General features: G+C 39.6%; 1 long non-coding RNA gene across 2 annotated transcripts in view; it reads right to left on the bottom strand.

The window, feature by feature from the left end:
• The window catches only part of LOC107984041 (uncharacterized), a 367,164-nt gene that overhangs the window by 14,982 nt on the left and 332,819 nt on the right, over positions 1–19,363 (bottom strand). The window contains exon 7 of one of the 2 annotated variants that reach the window (XR_002956381.2): positions 1,697–1,969. The exons of the other annotated variant lie outside the window; for it this stretch is intronic. This is a non-coding gene — a long non-coding RNA (uncharacterized LOC107984041). Of the gene's footprint in view, positions 1–1,696; positions 1,970–19,363 lie in introns of those variants that run through there. 2 annotated transcript variants of the gene reach the window in all.

The following is a 19,363-nucleotide window of genomic DNA, read 5'->3' as shown; positions in this document are numbered from 1 at the left end:
TTCGATTGAAAGATTGAAGCACTAAAAATTGTTTTAGGAGTTCTGGCTCTTTTCTCTGGATTTCATCTCTAAATTAAATCTGTGTTGCTGTCCTCATTCTTTGTTCTTCTTTTACTTCTTATCCCAGGAGCCGTCATGCTGCCTCATCAGAAATACAAGCCTCTAATGCAGGTAAAAGAAGATCTACAAGCTAAATTTAGCAGTAACTGTATTTCAACTTATAATGGCTCTAGCATATGTAATGACTTCTAACCTGAAAATTATAGGGGTCTGCTGTGATCCAGCCAGGCATGGCAGTACAATCAAAGAAACAGTAAAACAAAATTAAATACAATTTACTTCAAATCTTCACTCATCTCTTTAGAAACCCCACAAGACATAGTAAAATATCTTTAAAATCCTTTTTAGCTATCACTGCCACTCATATTCTCCAAACAGATGGAGATACTTACAAAAACTCAACCCACATGGCTCTTCTCACTTGCCATATGTTCTCTCTGTCATGTCAGTGGCTAAAGGCACTCCTTCTTTAGTTCATCAGTGCACCAACCTTTGCTACACAGTGGTTTTCTATTTTCCTTCCTGCATGCTTATGCCATCACTCCATCCACACCATGCCCCACTTGGAAGCCCAAATTCTCTATTCTTGAGACACCTCACTGTGCAGAAGAAAGAGGTGTAGTGTAATATATTGCCCTCACAAGAATCAGCACATCACCCAAACTGTAAACAAACAAAAAAAGAAGGCCTATGAACTGACCTATCCATGAAGGATGGAATCCTCCCTCCTTTGAAGGGAGCAAAAGAGTGAGAAAGCATATATGAATATGGTAAATACTTATACTTTCTTTTGAAAAAGTTCAAATCCACATATGCATAAAAAAGAGCTGGAAGGAATATTTTCTGACTCTATTTCTACCTTTCTGATGTGTACATAAATGTCTAGAGTTAATATCAATCTTAAGTCTAGTATATACAGAACACTTCCAGAATGCAATAGTAAAAAGAAAACTGGTATAAGACTTAGAAAACCTGGAATTAAATATCTTCACTGCCACTGGCATTTAACAAGTCACTTGCTGTCTTAGTGTGGGTTCCCCAGAAACAAATTCTAATTCAAATATTTCAGTATAAGTAGTTGACTTGGAAGGTGATTCCAAGAACACCAGTATTTCAATAGAAAAATGGAACAGAAAAAGGAAAAAAGTTAATAATAAATGTATTATGAATTATCACCATGGGCAACTGGAGATTGATTTTGCTAGAGAACTTGGGATATGGTATAGAAGATACGTCACCAAGTTATTCCACTCCAAGATGAGGAAGCTATGTATTTACATAGCAACCCCTATCAAGTGTTGGTTGAGAGCATGTGTGTGTGTGTGTGTCTGTGTGTGTGTTTGTGTGTGTGTGCATGGTGGAGGGTGGAGATTAATTCTAGCCTGCCTTTAGAACAGACAGAGAAGGATCTGTTGATCAGAGTGAGCACTCAGAGTCACAAGTCCTATCAGTCGGAAGAGGTGTCAAGATACAGGAAAATAGTAAATACACCGATTCCACAGGTAGGGCACTTGCATGTCTTGCTACTTCCTCCCCTTGCGCAACTCAGATTTACTCATAACTTGTATGAAGGTCATTCAATCCCATCACTGATTCACAATTTCTTTTGTAAAATTATATTAGGAATATTGGTGGAATAAACTACAGCACTTACAGTTTCAGTTGATCCTGAAGCCATAACTGGTATGCACTGTCTCCTTTTATCATCCCCGTGCTAGCTTTTTTGCAAAAGAATCCTCAACTAGTGATTCAGCTTCTCTAGGTTGCTATCCTGGTAGGGTGACTCAGACTCTCATCCTTGAAGGGTCTGAGCGCCTAGTTACTGTACTCTTGTCAGATGTGGCTGCTGCAGTGCCCATTCAGTTATCGTCATGAGGAGAAAGGCCATTTCTCTTACTGTCTCCTGTCACTGAAGAGAAGGAGGAATTAAAAGCTGAAAAACAACAGGAATGAAGTCAGCGGCAAGACCCACCAACGCCACTGACCAGGCATGAGGTTAAAAGATTAACCCCACCCCAACTCTAACCTCATGTGCTATCTATAGATCTCAATCTATCACAACCCTTTCACGTGGACCCTTTAGTGTTGTAAGCCCTTAAAAGGGCCAGGAACTCTTTCTTCGGATAGCTAAGTTCTTGAGACGCAAGTCTGACGACGCTACCAGCCAAATAAAGCCTCTTCCTTCTTTAACCCGGTGTCTGAGGGGTTTTGTCTGTGGCTCATCATGCTCCATTTCTTGGTTCCCTGACTGGGAATTGAGGTGATTAACAGACGGTTAAGGCAGCCCCTTAGGCGGCTTAGCCCTGCCCTGTGGAGCATCTGGCCAGCTTGAACGACACAGAGCCTGACTCCCAGGTAGGCATTTGCCCTGGTAGAACGCCTCATCAGAGCTGTGCATGGCAGGCCCCCACAGAGGATCAACACAGCAGCTGAACACCGGGAAGGAACTGGCGCTTGGAATCTGGACATCTGGTACTGTAGGACCGGTCTTTGGAACTTGCCCACTCCATTTGAGTGGAAGCATGGCCTGATCATCCACAGTGTGCCCTTATTGGCACTTTGGTCTCAGTATTGATTTTGATTTGGCTTGACTTGTTTGCAAAAAGAAAAGTGAAAGTGAGTGCTTGAGTTTGAGAGGGGCAAGGTGAGTGAGTGACCCCTTTACCCTTTCCTTCTTGTGGTGTGAGTTTTGTTTTGTCTTGGGAGGAAGATGGGTGGAACACAAAGTAAGCCAACTCTGCTAGGAACTATGTTGAAAAAATTCAAGAAAGGATTTAATGGAGACTATGGAGTTACTATGACACCAAGTAAACTTAGAACTTTGTGTGGGATAGACTGGCCAACATTAGAAGTGGGTTGGCCATCAGTAGGAAGCCTAGAAAGGTCCATTGTTTCAAAGGTATGGCACAAGGTAACTGGTGAGCCAGGACACCCAGACCAGTTTCCATACATAGACACTTGGTTTCAGATGGTTTTAGACCCCCCACAGTAGTTAATAGGACAGGCAGCAGTAGTACTAGTGGCAAAGGGACAGACAGCCAAGGAAGAATCCCGCTCCACCTGCCGAGGGGGATTGGCTCCTAAAGTCCTGTCAGACCCAACATCACAGGATTCATGGCAAGAAATGGCACCAGTGCCCCCCACCCTTTCACCAGGGAGGAAGGCCTCCCACTCCTGAGCCCACTGCGCCCGAGCTTCCACAAGGCCTACATACCCCTAGGCCACCCAGAGTAGAAAAGGAAGGATCTGAGACCTTGGGAGAAACCCTTCCCTTGGCAGCCTGTTTGAGGCCTAGAACTGGGATACAAATGCCCTTAAGAGAGCAATGGTATACTGGGATAGATGAGGACGGGCACATGGTAGAAAGGTGTGCCTTTGTGTACCAACCCGTCACCTCTGCCAATCTCCTCATTTGGAAAAACAATACCCCATCCTATACCAAAAAGCCTCAAGCTATAATTGATTTGCTCCAAACTATTATCCAGACCCATAACCCCAACTGGACTGATTGCCACCAGTTGTTCATGTACCTCTTTAACACAGATGAAAGGAGGAGAGTGCTCCAAGCAGCAACTTGGAAGAAAATGTTCCAGCTGATTACCAAAACCCACAAGAGTATGTGAGGATACAATTACCAGGAACAGACTCCCTGTGGGACCCAAATGAAGACAGGGTATGCAAAGGCTAAACCGGTACAGGGAAGCCCTTCTGGAAGGGTTAAAGAAGGGAGCTCAGAAGTCCACAAATGTTAACAAAGTCTCTGAGGTCATTCAAGGGAAAGATGAGAGCCCAGCACAATTCTACGAGAGACTATGTGAGGCCTATCGTATGTATACTACCTTTGATCCTGATAGCCCTGAAAATCAGCACATGATTAACATGGCTTTAGTTAGTCAAAGTGCAGAAGACATTAGAAGAAAATTGCAGAAACAGGCTGGGTTTGCAGGCATGAATACTTCACAGTTATTGGAGATAGCCAACAAGGTGTTTGTGAATAGAGATGCAGTAAGCCACAGAGAGAATTGCAGAGAGAGTGAATGCCAAGCCTGGTGAAATGCCGACCTGCTAGCTGCAGCTATGAGAGCGGTCCCCCTGAGGGGTGAGAGAAGGGGGGCCCCAGGAAACATACCCAGTCTGGCTGTCCACGCTTGCAGTGTAAGCAGTGTGCTTACTGTAAGGAAATAGGACATTGGAAGGACAAGTGCCCCCAGTTGAAAGGGAAACAAGGCAACTCTGAGCAGGAGGCCTCAGAGAAGGACGAAGGGGCCTTGTTCAATCTGGCAGAAGGGTTACTGGACTGAGGGAGACCAGGCTCATGTGTCCCCAAGAGCCCATGGTCAGGATGACAGTTGGGGGCAAGGACATTGAGTTTCTTGTCAATACTGGTGCTGAACATTCAGTAGTAACCACCCCAGTCACCCCCTTATCCAAAAAGACAATAGATATAATCAGAGCCACAGGGGTTTCAGCAAAGCAAGCTTTCTGTTTGCCCTGGACCTGCACTGTGGGGGGACATGAAGTGATTCACCAGTTCCTGTACATGCCTGACTGCCCCTTGCCTTTGCTAGGAAGGGACCTACTTAGCAAGCTGACAGCCACCATCTCTTTTACAAAGCACAGCTCTTTACAGCTAAAGCTACTTGGAACGGGAGTCATCATGGCCCTTATGGTTCCTCAGGAGGAGGAATGGGGACTCTTCTTAACTGGGCCAGGCCAAGAGATAGGATCAGCTCTGACTAAGCGGTGGCCAAAGGTGTGGGCAGAAGACAATCCTCCAGGGTTGGCAATCTACCAGGCCCCCGCACTCATAGAAGTTAAGCCTGGGGCCCAGCCAGACAGACAAAAACAGTGCCTGGTCCCCAGAGAAACTCTTGAAGGTATCCAGGTCCATCTCAAGCAGCTGAGGTCCTTTGGAATTATAGTCCCTTGTCAGTCTCCATGGAACACTCCCCTCCTGCCTGTTCCCAAGCCAAGGACTACAGGCCAGTACAGGATTTGCGCTTGTTCAACCAAGCTACAGCTGAGGATAGCTGGTTCACCTGACTGGTTCACCTGGTTCATCCTTCAGGGATGCTTTCTTTAGCATCACACTAGCCCCTGAGAGCCAGAAACTGTTTGCCTTTCAGTGGGAGGATCCGGGGTCAGATGTCACTACTCAGTACACTTGGACCCAGCTTTCCCAAGGGTTCAAGAACTCCCCCCACTATCTTCAGGGAAGCACTGGCTCGAGACCTCCAAAAGTTTCCCACCAGAGACCTAGGTTGCATGTTGCTCCAGTACATTGACAACCTCCTGCTGGGACACCCCACAGCAGTCGGGTGCACCAAGGGAACGGATACCCTGCTCCACCACCTGGAGGAATGTTGGTAAAAGGTGTCCAAGAAGAAAGCTCAGATCTGCAGACAGCAAGTATGTTACCTGGGATTTACTATCCAACAGGCGGAGCACAACTTGGGATCAGAAAGAAAGCAGGTCATTTGCAACCTATCAGAGCCTAAGACCAAAAGGCAGGTGAGAGAATTCTTAGGAGCTGTGGGGTTCTGCAGGTTATGGATCCTAAACTTTGCAGTACTAGCCAAGCCCCTGTATGGAGTCACAAAGGGGGGTGACAAGGAACATTTGGAATGGGGGTCCCAACAGCAATGAGCTTTTCATGAGTTAAAAGAGAAACTCATGTCGGCCCCAGCCCTGGGGCTGCCTGACCTGACAAAGCCATTTACACTATATGTGTCAGAGAGAGAAAAGATGGCAGTTGGAGTTTTGACCCAGAACACGGGGCCCTGGTCAAGGTCGGTGGCCTACCTCTCTAAACAACTAGATGGGGTTTCTAAAGGTTGGCCCCCATATTTGAGGGCCTTGGCAGAAACTGCCCTGTTAGCATAAGAAGCAGATAAGCTGACTCTTGGGCAAAATCTGAACATAAAGGCCCCCCATGCTGTGGTGACTTTAATGAATACCAAAGGACATCATTGGCTAACGAATGCTAGACTAACTAGGTACCAAAGCTTGCTCTGTGAAAATCCCTGCATAACCATTGATGTTTGCAACACCTTGAACCCTGCCACCTTACTCGCGGTATTAGAGAGCCCAGTTGAACATAACTGTGTAGAGGTGTTGGACTCAGTTTATTCTAGCAGGCCCAACCTCTGAGACCATCCTTGGACATCAGTAGACTGGGAGCTGTACGTGGACAGGAGCAGCTTGGTCAACCCACAAGAAGAGACGTGTGCAGGATATGCAGTGGTAACCCTGGACACTGTCACTGAAGTCAAATCATTGCCCCAGGGTACTTCAGCCCAGAAGGCTGAACTCATTGCTTTAATTTGGGCCTTAGAGCTAAATGAAGGTAAGACTGTAAACATTTACCCTGACTCTTGGTATGCCTTCTTAACCCTCCAAGTGCATGGGGTGTTATATAAAGAAAAAGGCCTGTTGAACTCTGGGGGAAAAGAGATAAAACATCATTGAGAGATCCTGCAATTGTTAGAGGCAGTGTGGAAGCCCCCAAAAGGTGGCAGTCACGCACTGCAGAGAACACCAGCGAGCTTCCACCTCGATTGCCTTGGGGAACTCCCGAGCTGACTCAGAGGCTCAAAAGCAGCATCCACCCCCTACCGGGCATCAGTCACTGACCCCTGCTCCCTCAGGCACCTGACCTTGTACCTACTTATTCTAAAGAAGAGAAGGACTTTCTCCAGGCAGAGGGAGGGCCAGGTGATAGAAGAGGGATGGATCCGGTTATCAGATGGAAGAATAGCCGTGTCACAACTGCTGGGCACCGCAGTCGTATTGGCTGTGCATGAGACCACCTATCTAGGCCAAGAGTCATTTGAAAAGTTGTTAAACCAGTACTTCTACATCTCGCATCTGTCAGCCCTTGCCGAAACAGTGGCGCAGCAGTGTGTCACCTGCTGGCAGCACAATACTAGGTAAGGTCCAACCGTCTTGCCCGGCATACAAGCTTATGGGGCAGCCCCCTTTGAAGATCTCCAAGTAGACTTCACTGAGATGCCCAAATATGGAGTTAACAAGTATTTGCCAGTTCTAGTGTGTACATAATCTGGGTAGGTGAAGGCCTATCCTTTACGAACTGAGAAAGCTCATGAAGTAACCCGTGTGCTTCTCCGAGATCTCATCCCTAGGTTTGGACTGATCTTACAAATCGGCTCAGATGACAGGCTGGCATTTGTGGCTGATTTGGTACAGAAGACAGCAAAGGTATTGGGGCTCACATGGAAAATAAATACCGCTTACTGACCACAGAGTTCTGGAAAAGAAGAGTGGATGAATCGGACTATCAAAAATAGTTTAGGGAAAGTGTGTCAAGAAACAGGATTAAAGTGGGTACAAGCTCTCCCTATGGTATTAAGATTAGATGTACCCCTTCTAAAAGGACAGGATATTCCCTTTATGAAATATTATATCATAGGCCCCCTCCCATACCACGAGGACTCCCAGGCACTTCTCAAGAGCTAGGTGAAATTGAGTTACAGCGACAGATACAGGCTTTAGGGAAAATTACACAAACAATTTCAGCCTGGGTAAATGAGAGGTGTCCCATCAGCTTATTCTCCCCAGTTCACCCTTTCTCCCCAGGTGAACGGGTGTGGATCAAAGATTGGAACGTAGCCCCCTTGCGGCCGTGGTGGAAAGGACCCCAGACTGTTGTCTTGACCACTCCCACAGCTGTAAAGGTAGAGGGAATCCCAGCCTGGATCCACCACAGCCGCATAAAACCTGCAGCACCTGAGACCTGGGAGGTGAGACCAAGCCTGGACAACCCCTGCAAAGTGACTTTGAAGAAGACGACAAGCCCTACTCTCGTCACACCCAGAAGCTGACTGGTCCACACACAGCCAAAGCATGAGGAAACTCATCGTGGGACTTATTTTCCTTAAATTTTGGATTTGTACAGTAAGGACTTCAACTGACCTTCCTCAGACTGAGGACTATTCCCAGTGTATACATCAAGTTACTGAGGTAGGGCAAAAAGTTAAAACAGTCTTTCTGTTTTATAGTTATTATGAACATACTAGAACTCTAAAAGGGACTTGTTTGTATAATGCCACCCAGTATAAGGTATGCAGGCCAGGAAGCGACCAGCCTGATGTGTGCTATAACCCATCTGAGCCCCCATGAGTACAGTTTTTGAAATAAGATTGAGGACTGGCAACCGGGGAAATGCTGATGTGAGTAAAGTAATAACTAGAACAGAAGAAAAAGGAGTCCCCAAACAAATTATCTTAAAATTTGATGCCTGTGCAGCAATCAACAGTGACCTGTATGGAAATAAATAAGATGCAGCTCTCTAGATTGGGAAAGGGCTATATAGCATAAAATAAGTATGTTTGTCATGAATTAGGACTGTGTAGTGAAGATGAGAGTGAGAACTAGCACTAGCGAGTGAGATTCTCAAAGAGGGGAATGAGGAGCGAGGCCATTTCTCTTACTGTCTCCTGTCTCTGAAGAGAAGGAGGAATTAAAAGCTGAAAAACAACAGGAATGAAGTTGTTTTCATTCCTGAAATGACCAACCGGCACCACCAACCAGGCCTGAGGTTAAAAGATTAACCCCCGACTCTAACCACATGTGCTATCTATAGATCTCAATCTGTCACAACCCTTTCACGTGGATCCCTTAGAGTCATAAGCCCTTAAAAGGGACAGGAATTCTTTCTTTGGAGACCTCAGTTCTTGAGACACAAGTCTGCTGACACTCCTGGCCAAAGAAAGCCTCTTCCTTTTTTAACTCGGTGTCTGAGGAGTTTTGTCTGTGGCTCGCCCTGCTACAATCAGGCATGGGAGAACTAAAAGCATCTCACTGAATACTCTAAGCTCTATCCATACTCTTTCTTGCCCTCATTTGTAACAGAAATCCTAGCTCCTCTTGACAACCAGGGTCAATTATCCTGCCAATGTGGTAACTTCTTTCTTTGCTTGCTTGGCCACTATTGTGAGAAGCACAAAATGATCAGGTGGTAGCCATAGCCAAAGCTTAGTGGAACATTTACCATGTCCATTGGTAGAAGCCTTACTTTTTGTTCTTAGTAACCAAGACCTCTAATCCATGGTTTAAAGTTGTGGGAACAGTAATCACAAATTTGTCAATTAGACTGATAGTGAGATGAGCCATGCCAACTTCCACTCTTTGGTTCCTTTTCTATCAGGAGACACTGCATCATAATAATGGCAATCAATTTAAAGAATATAACATCTTTTGAAAGCAGAGGCCCCTTCCCCTAGAGCTAGAAGCTGGCTTTTTAGCATCCCCATCTATTACCATATATAAAAATCAATGCAAAAATGGGTTAAAGACTTAAATGTAAGACCTGAAACTATGAAACTATCGAAAGAAAATGTTAAGAAATTGCTACTGGACATTGCTCTGGGCAAATATTTTTTGGGTAAGACCTCAAAAGCATAGGCAACAAAAGTGAAAATAGATAAATGGGATTGCATTAAGCTAAACAGCTTCTGCACAGCAAAGGAAACAAACAACGAAGTGAAGAGACAATCCACAGAATGGAAGAAAATATTTTTAAACTATCCATCTGACAAAGGATTAATAACCAGAATACATAAGGCACTCAAACATCTCAATAGCAAATAAATAATCTGATTAAAACATGGGCAAAAATATCTCAATTGACATTACTAAAAGGAGACATACGGGCTGGGCGTGGTGGCTCATGCCTGTAATCCCAGCACTTTGGGAGGCTGAGGTGGGCAGATCACCTGAGGTAGAGAGTTCAAGAGCAGCCTGGCCAAAATGGTGAAACCCTGTCTCTACTAAAAATAAAAAATAAAATTAGCTGGGCATGCTGGTGGGCACCTGTAGTCCCAGCTACTTGGGAGACTGAGGCATGAGAATTGCTTGAACCTGGGATGCTGAGGTTGCAGTGAGCCGAGATGGTGTCACTGCACTCCAGCCTGGGTGACACAGTGAGACTCCATCTCAAAAAAAAAAAATTTAAAAAAAAGAAGAACAAGACATACAAATGGCTGATATATGAAAAATGCTCAGCCAGGCATGGTGGCTCATGCCTGTAATCCCAGAACTTGGGAGGCCAAGGTGGGTGGATCACCTAAGGTCTGGAGTTCGAGACCAGCCTGGCCAACATGGTGAAACCCCATCTCTTCTAAAAACACAAAAAATTAGCCAGGTATGGTGAAGGGCGCCTGTAATCCCAGCTACTTGGGAGCCTGAGGCAGGAAAATCACTTGAACCTGTGGGGTGGAGGTTGCAATGAGCCGAGATCATGCCATTGCACTCTAGCCTAGGCAACAAGGGCAAAACTCCATCTCAAAAAAGAAAAAAGAAAAGAAAAATGCTCAACAGCACTAATCATCAAAGATATGCAGATCAAAACCACAATGACATATCATTTCACCCCAGTTAAACTGGCTTTTATCAAAAACACAAAGAATAACAAATGTTGACAAAGATGCAGTTATATTCCCACCAACACTCATACACTGTTGGTGGGAATGTAAGTAGTACAGCTGTTACTGAAAAAGGTATGGAGGCTCCTCAAAAAACTAAAAATAGGACTAACACATGATCCAACAATCCCATTGCTGGGTATACATCCAAAAACATAAAGGAAATCAATATACGGAAGAGATATCTCTACTCCAATGTATATTCCAGCACTATTCACAATAGACAAGATATGGGACCAATCTAAGGACCTATCAATGGATAAATGGATAAAGAAAATGTGGCATATATACAATGGAATACTATTTGGCCATAAAAAAAGTATGAAATCCTGTCCTTTGGAGCCACATGGATGGAATTTAGGTCATTATGTTAAGTGACATAAATCAGGCACAGAAAGACAGATATTACATATTCTCACTCATATGTGGGAGCTAAAAAAAAATGGTTCTCCTAGAGGTAGAGAGTAGAATGCTGGTTACCATAGGATGGGAAGGGAAGCAGGAGGGGGAGGGAGGAATTAGGAGCTGGTTACTCAGTACAAAAATGGTTAGATAGAAGGAATAAGTTCTAGTACTTGATACTACATTAGGGAAATTTTAGTCAACAATAATTTATTGTAGATTTCAAAACAGCAAGAAAAGAATTGTAATGTCCCCAACATACCTTTAAAAAAATGAATGTTTGAGGTGATGGATATCCCAATTACCCTGATTTGACATTACATATTGTATACATGAGTAAAAATATCACAAGTACCCCAAAAATATGCACAACTGGGATATATAAATAAAACACACACAAAAGAAATAGGTAGCACTTCATCAAGCCAGCAGCTTCTGGGTCATGCATGTAAAGGTAGAGCTAATGGCCCTGAGGTCATTTGTCTGCTGTTGAACCTCCATTCTTGTAAGTACATCCCTTAGTGAAGCAATATCTTGTGGAATTCCATTAGGATAAATCAAACACTTTGTGGGCCCTCTGATTGTGGCACTGGAAAAGCAAAAGGTCACATTTACTGGCAGTTTGAAAGCAAGCCAGCATGCACAGAAATGATAAATGCAGAAAGAGTATGGCTGGAGCACTGACAGTATCTTCTATACTCCCTGAATCTTGTTTCCTCATCTATAAATTGGATCCAATAATAATGCACTTTAAAGAATTTGTATGGAAATCTGCTTTTGAAGTATTATAGAAATTTAAGCTGTAAATATTCAGTTTTGTGATAGAAGCTACAAAAGAAATAAATATCATCACCCGACCCTCCAGAAAGTGAGAACCTATTACGAAATTTCTTTTACATTCTATTTCATACTTTGCTATTTCTGGTTAATATGTGACTTTAAATCTCAGATATAAAAATTAGGCAACTAAAAAGAAAAGTTGTCTTAAATTATAAATGCAAAATAAAAAATTAATGTTGAGTCCATTTTCAAAAAGATCATTACTATCAATAACACAAAAAAAGAAAACTATGAAAAATTCATTTTTAAAATAAAGTGTAATCAAATACTTGGGCAGTTTATTGGGGGGAGAGGAAAGCCATTTACCTGTCTATGATTGATTGACATTGTTATCTAATCTATCAAAATAATCATTTATTTTAGAAATATGATTACTGAAGGGTACCCTTCATTTCCAAGATCAATAAAATCAATCCTTAGACTTTAAATTCTATTTCAAAATTTTCTTAATTAATTTAAATGCCCCAGCGGTATTTTCTTCCTTTGAGGATCAGCTCAAATTATTTTCTATTCAGTAAGTACATATCCATTTTTGTAAAGATCTAGTTTCTTTTAAGTTATATTAATTTTGTGCACTTTATAGGCAAAAATGATACCCTAGCCTTAGGAACATGAGGCTACTTTGTGAAATGCAAGAGCTAGACAAGTAGAAAAAAAGGTCTACTAGGAAAGAAAGGGTATTATGCTGACACTTTAAGGAAGCAGAAAAGAAGTTTATCTGCACAGAGAGAGGTGGATTTTTGTTGTTGTTGTGTGGGTTTTTTGTTTGTTTGGTTTTTTTTTTTTGCCAAGAAGGTGCTTTTATAAGAGAAAGAACGGATTTGACCTAGTTGGTCCTAACAGTAATGTTCATGAGCAAGATAATCCTGGGGAGACAGAAAGCATTCTCTCAGAAGAATGAGAGTGTCAATTGACTGTCAGGTGGGATATCAATTACCTCTTCGAATATATTGTTATTTTCCAATGCAGACAGTTTCCGTTTTTATAAATTTTATCTATTTGCCTATTATTTTGTTTTAATTGTAAATTATAATTGCTTTAACCAAAAATACATATCTTGTTATAAGTAAACATTGATAACCTTTATGATGCCATGTAAAATCTGTTTGCACATTCCTGAAGCTGTCTAGATATTCACTCACAATTAAGAAATGTTCAGTATATCTTCTTATTCAGTGCCAGTAACATAAGAGTGAGCACAAAATCTTAGCTGCATCTGAGAAGTGGAGTTGGAACTACCTCAAGCCTCAAAACAATAAGAAAAATAATGGGCAATACTTGTTAAAAAAAACAAAAACAAAAAAACAGGGTGAGATTCTTCACGTCCTTTACAAAGGGCAAAGATGAAAAGAAAGAAGTCATTAGTGACAACAAATGCTCGTCACAAGACTTAGGGCTTGACAAACCAGGACTTATGACTACACCAACATTCAAGATTAATGTTCTTTTTGGTTCACCTGGAGAACTCTAGACATGATTAAAAGTTTGTCTCTCAACCACATCCTCTCTTATATATGTTCTTCCCACAAACAAATGTTTTCATCAGCATTGGAGAAGGCTATACCCATAATCTCATTCCCACACTCAGGAAAATTATATTTAATATTGTGAAGAAGACTGATGTTGTGTATTTTACCACCTGCAGAGCTAGTTAAAATTACATATATATGTGTAATTTTAACAAAGGAAACTATATATGTGTATATATATATACATATACAGCTTATATATACAAAAAGTTTTTAATTTCTTGACTAGTTATGTTTTCTTCTACCAGCATAAAAGTATTTCTCATGTAATATTTGGATCTAAAGTTACAAAGGAAATAATATTTTGGGCAACACCTGAGGGAAAAGAGTTTATTCTTTTTTATTACAATGTACAAATGCAGAGATTTATTTTCTTTACACTTTTATACTTGTATGGCATTTTAAATGGTGCTTTTCATACTATGAAAAAATATTTATCTCAAAGTATTTAGGGATAGAAGCAATACTAGACATTGAGAAATGCAGAGGTGGGAAGAAAAAATAGGAAGAGAAAAAATGTATATGATTGCTGGGATAGCAATGATTTTTAACTAGAAGGTAATAATTAGATTCAAATTTCTAAACCCCTGGTCTTATACTTTATAGTAACATGAATTTATAGGAAATTTAAATAGGCAGAAATCATATTAATTTCTATCTAAATGAAAAAACCAGATCAAATGTTCTGTCAAAAATGGATCTTTGATTCAATTTGAAAATTTTAATCTAACCACCAGTTGCATTATACGAACTGAAACACTTTTGTTTTGTTGAACGAAGAATATAAAAAATTAAAAGACATAGTTTCTGAATTTATGATATGGATAATTATTATTTTATGTACTTGGTCTATTACATTTAACCACATAAGAATTTATACTTGATTTATTTAACTGAATAGATATTCAACTAAACTAATCACCATACCACAGTTCTAAATATTAAATAAAAACAGATACAAGACAAAGTTTATATTCCCTATTTACTTCAAACACTTGGATTTTCAAAAACAGTAAATTGCAAAGAAAATTCAATGAACGAAATATGCCACCTTTATATAATATTGCTATTAAATACCTGTTACAGTTAACTTATACATTTACAACAATCTGACTTAAAACACTTTAACTAACTAATGTATACTGAAGATCTTTAACAAAAAACCTGTGATTCCAGTATAAATTCAAATATATAAAACTATTCTAATAAGTAATTGTATTTAACAGTATGAATGTACTCTGAATATTTTAAGTTCTCCTGAACTGACTTCATAACCTGAAAAATAATGGGGGAAAAGATGAAAAAGTAACATATTAAATGCTTGCTCTGTGTTTGTCTCTGTTTTCAGTGCATTGCAAATATCATCTTAAATGCCAGTTGTCCTCCTTTCTATACTCTAAATGAAGGTTGGCATTTTCTTTTCCATAAAGGGCTAAATAGTAAATATCTTAGACTTTGCAGGGCTCTGTCTCAGTTGCTAACTCTGTTGCTGTAACATAAAAGTAGCTATGTACGTTACATAAAAGGATGAAGTATCTGTGTTCAAATAAAATTTTATTTATTAAGACTGAAGTTGGAGTTTTATATATATTTGTGTGTCAAAAATATCATTATTCCTTTGATTTTTTAAAACTATTTTAAAATGTAAATATTATTCTTATCTTGACAGCTGTACACAGACAGGTGTCAGACTGGAATTGACCCACCAGCTAGAGTTTGCCAACCTCTGCTCTAAATTTATGTCAATATAATCCATATTTTAATAAATTAAAGTATTGGCATTTTACAAAATTAAATTGAAGTGATGGTTTAATGAAGTTTTTTTTTTTATTTTTCTCTATGTCACTACAGATTACATTAGCTTATGAATTGACTTGTTAGTCCCCAAATCTCATAAATTTGGGCAGAAATTTATAACTAAAATCAAGAGAATTTTTTACAATACTAAAAACTGTTATTAATTTTAAAATTAAAATTTAAAAAGGTCATGCTTATTGCTTTACAATAAATGTTAAAGCTCTTTTTAAAAGATAAAATGTTATGGCCAGGCGCGGTGGCTCACACCTTTGAGGGGGCACCTTGGGAGGCCAAGGCGAGTGGATTGCTTGAGGCCAGGAGTTCCAGACCAGCCTGGGCAAAATGGCGAAACCCCATCTCTACTAAAAATACAAAAATCAGCCGGGTGTGGTGGCGCACATGTGTAATCCCAGCTACTAGGGAGACTAAGGCATGAGAATCGCTTGAACCCAGGAGGCAGAGATTTCAGTGAGTAGAAGTTGCACCAGTTCACTGAAGCTTGGGTGATAGAGTGAGAGTCTGTCCCAAAAAACAAAAAGAAAAAGAAAACGAAAAATTTAAAAGGTAGTTTGTACAGCAGTCAGAAAACTGTATTTCATAGTATATAGAAAGTATGTCTATTTAGACAAATTGTGACAGAAAAATATCAATTCAATATTCAATAAAAACTTGAACTAGTGAGAATTTCAGATGTTTCTGAAAAAATTCTCATAGTTCCTATGATGCCACCAAGTCTTGATTGTTTTCTTCTACATCCCTGATGACATTTTCAGTTTTCATTGCATAATCCTTATCTGACTACCAATGTCACTGTGCTCTGGGGTTTGGTTCTAGTAAGACATCTCTTCTAATCTTTCTACAAAGACACACAGATGAAAATTACATTTTTATAATCAGAGTAGACCACTCTCTTGAGATACACATTTCTATAGTCAACTTTTTACTTAATGTATCCAGGGGAACATTTAATAGATGCCTGTGGCAATGCATAGCCATTGACCAAAAATGAAAGCTTCTTTCCCAGTTCAGAGTTTCTTCTGGAAAGTGGCTACTCTTGCTGTGAGGGGATGATATTTCCCAGATTCTTTTGCATCTTATTTTATTTTTAAATTTGACAGATAAAATTGTATGTATTTATCATGTACAACGTGATGTTTTGAAGTATATATACATTGTAGAATGACTAAATCTCACTACTGTTATATGCATTATCTCACCATTATCAGTTCTGTGGTGAGAACATTTAACATCCACTTTCAGCATTTTTCAAGAACACAATATATTGTTGTTAACTATAGTCAACATGTTACACAATAAGATCTCTTGAACTTATTCCTTCTCTCTAATGGGAATTTTATATTCTTTGGCCAACATTTCCACAAACTCCCCTAACCCTCTACCTCACTGCCTTGTAAGACATTATGTAAAGTGAACTAATACAGGCACAGAAAGACAAATACTGCCTGTCTTACTCATATGTAGAATATTAAAAAGTTGATCTCTTAAAAGTAGAGAGTAAAATGATGGTTACCCTTTTGCATCTTGGTGGGACCATATGACTGATTTTCCCCCAACAAAATATAAATGGAATATATATGTGTCATTCTGCTCCAAGAATAAGAAGCAAGTGTGCATTCTCCATATTGTCTTTCCTCTTCTACCTGCTTGATTCAGAGGGCTTTGTTCCCTCAGTGCCTGGGGAAACTCAGGGGAGAAAGAACTTGAATCCTTGAATCAATATATTGACAAAAGCCAGCCGCTAATCAGGAAACCAAACTTCTATTTCGGTAAACCACTGAAATTTGGGGTTTAGTTGCTATGGCAGCTAACATTAGCCTAACAAATACATCTCAAATGTAACATGTCCAAAATACAACTCCATTCCCCCAACATATTTCACCCCCAATCATTCCCATCTGAATAAGTATAGCAACAACCACTGAGTTTCTCAAGGTCAAAACCTCAGTGTCGCCAATATGCATTTCTAAAATGTAAATCAGATTATGGCAATTCCCTGCTTAAAATCTTTCAATTGTTTGTCAGTGAAATCAGAAAAAAAAAACAAAACCCAGATTTCTTAGCACAGGCCCTCCCTGACTCTTCAACCTAGATTTGTGCCACAGATCCTCTTAGTACACTCCAGCCATATGGGTCTTCTTTCAGCTCCTCAAATGTACCAAACTCTTTCCCACCACAGGAACTCTGAGTATGATGTACTCTCTCCCTGGAATGCTCTTCCCACCGTACTTCTTTTGGTTAATTCAGACATAGCTCAAATGGCACCTCCTCAGAAGATCTTTCAACCTCACTATATAATTTGTGTCTCCTTTCTCTTTCTCGCCTTTTTTTTCCCTCTCTCTCATCACTATACTTTTTATAGAATTTATTATATTTATAAGTATATAAACATTTTTCTCTCTACTGATTCAATGCCTATCTCATTTACTAGGCAGAGCTTCCTACGTGGGTAGAAGGCGACCCAGGAAATACACCTGAAAATTTATTACTAAAACTTTAATTCATGTTTCCTTTTATCTTACCCTGTCATGATTTATTCTTGAATTAGTTTTTTAATGTGCTTCATATATTAGTAAAATAGTACATGCATGTTATTTATAGGTAAATATACATATATCAATGGTGCATTGTCAAATATTTCTCCTATTAGAGCCGTGCAATCAAACAAGTTTCTAAAACGTTGCACTAGACCAAAAACTCCACAATATGAGGGATAATGTCTGTCTTCGTACATGATTACCCCTAAGAAAATACTTGTTTAGTAAATAAATGAATAATAATCACCTCCAGTGTACTATCTTTAATAATTATTTGGAATTATTATATGTATACTAGAGTAACTAAAACTATATTTGTAAAAACAAATTATTCTAAACTTGCTTTAATTAATAGACAAAAATCAATTCATAAATAAAAGCATCTATTTGCATACAATGTTCTAAAGCCTTCTAAATTATGTTGACTCTTTTATAAAGGTTAAATATCTTCAACCATCTTCTTTAAACTATTCATCTATTCAGTTAAAACTTTCTTCAGGATAATGCAAAAGGAAATGTCACCCTTGGCAAGCAATCACAAATTCCAAATTATGTAGAATATGAATTAATGAGGTCTTATATCTTCAAACCAACAAAAATCACTTTATAATGTTTGAGGTCATTAGTTCTATTTTTTAAATGGTAAATTTGACTTTTAAGTAAATGTGTGCTCAATATTGATTCTCTGAGCCAAATGGTGCATCCATATCTTGGAATGTCTTAGAAAACATTAAAATAATCATTGCTAATAAATATTCATATCTTAATTATAATGAAAACATTTTTATAATTTTCGAATCATATAGTTGCTTTATTACTTTTTTTACTATAACCTCCTTCAGCATACTAGAAATGTAAAATCTTTTCCTGTTTTTAATATAACCTTTTTTATACAATAGATTTTGTTTAAATAAATTCCAATTTTCTGCCCCAAATTCCAATTTATTTCTTTTTCTACTTCTCATTCAGATGCAAGAACCCACCTTCCAGTACCATGCTGTTTTGGGTACTGGTACCAAAACAGAGATATAGATCAATGGAACAGAACAGAGCCCTCAGAAGTAATGCCGCATATCTACAACTATCTGATCTTTGACAAACCTGAGAAAAACAAGCAATGGGGAAAGGATTCCCTGTTTAATAAATGGTGCTGGGAAAACTGGCTAGCCATATGTAGAAAGCTGAAACTGGATCCCTTCCTTACACCTTATACAAAAATCAATTCAAGATGCATTAAAGACTTAAACATTAGACCGAAAACCATAAAAACCCTAGAAGAAAACCTAGGCATTACCATTCAGGACATAGGCATGGGCAAGGACTTCATGTCTAAAACACCAAAAGAAATGGCAACAAAAGCCAAAATTGACAAATGGGATCTAATTAAACTAAAGAGCTTCTGCACAGCAAAAGAAACTACCATCAGAGTGAACAGGCAACCTATAAAATGGGAGAAAATTTTTGCAACCTACTCATCTGACAAAGGGCTAATATCCAGAATCTATGATGAACTCAAACAAATTTACAAGAAAAAAACAAACAACCCCATCAAAAAGTGGGTGAAGGACATGAACAGACACTTCTCAAAAGAAGACATTTATGCAGCCAAAAAACACATGAAAAAATGCTCGTCATCACTGGCCATCAGAGAAATGCAAATCAAAACCACAATGAGATACCATCTCACACCAGTTAGAATGGCAATCATTCAAAAGTCAGGAAACAACAGGTGCTGGAG

This window comes from Homo sapiens, chromosome 6 (assembly GCF_000001405.40).
Source record: "Homo sapiens chromosome 6, GRCh38.p14 Primary Assembly".
Taxonomy (NCBI): domain Eukaryota; kingdom Metazoa; phylum Chordata; class Mammalia; order Primates; family Hominidae; genus Homo; species Homo sapiens.
The sequence above is the reverse complement of the archived record's forward strand: the minus strand, read 5'-3'. Positions and strand labels throughout refer to the sequence as shown.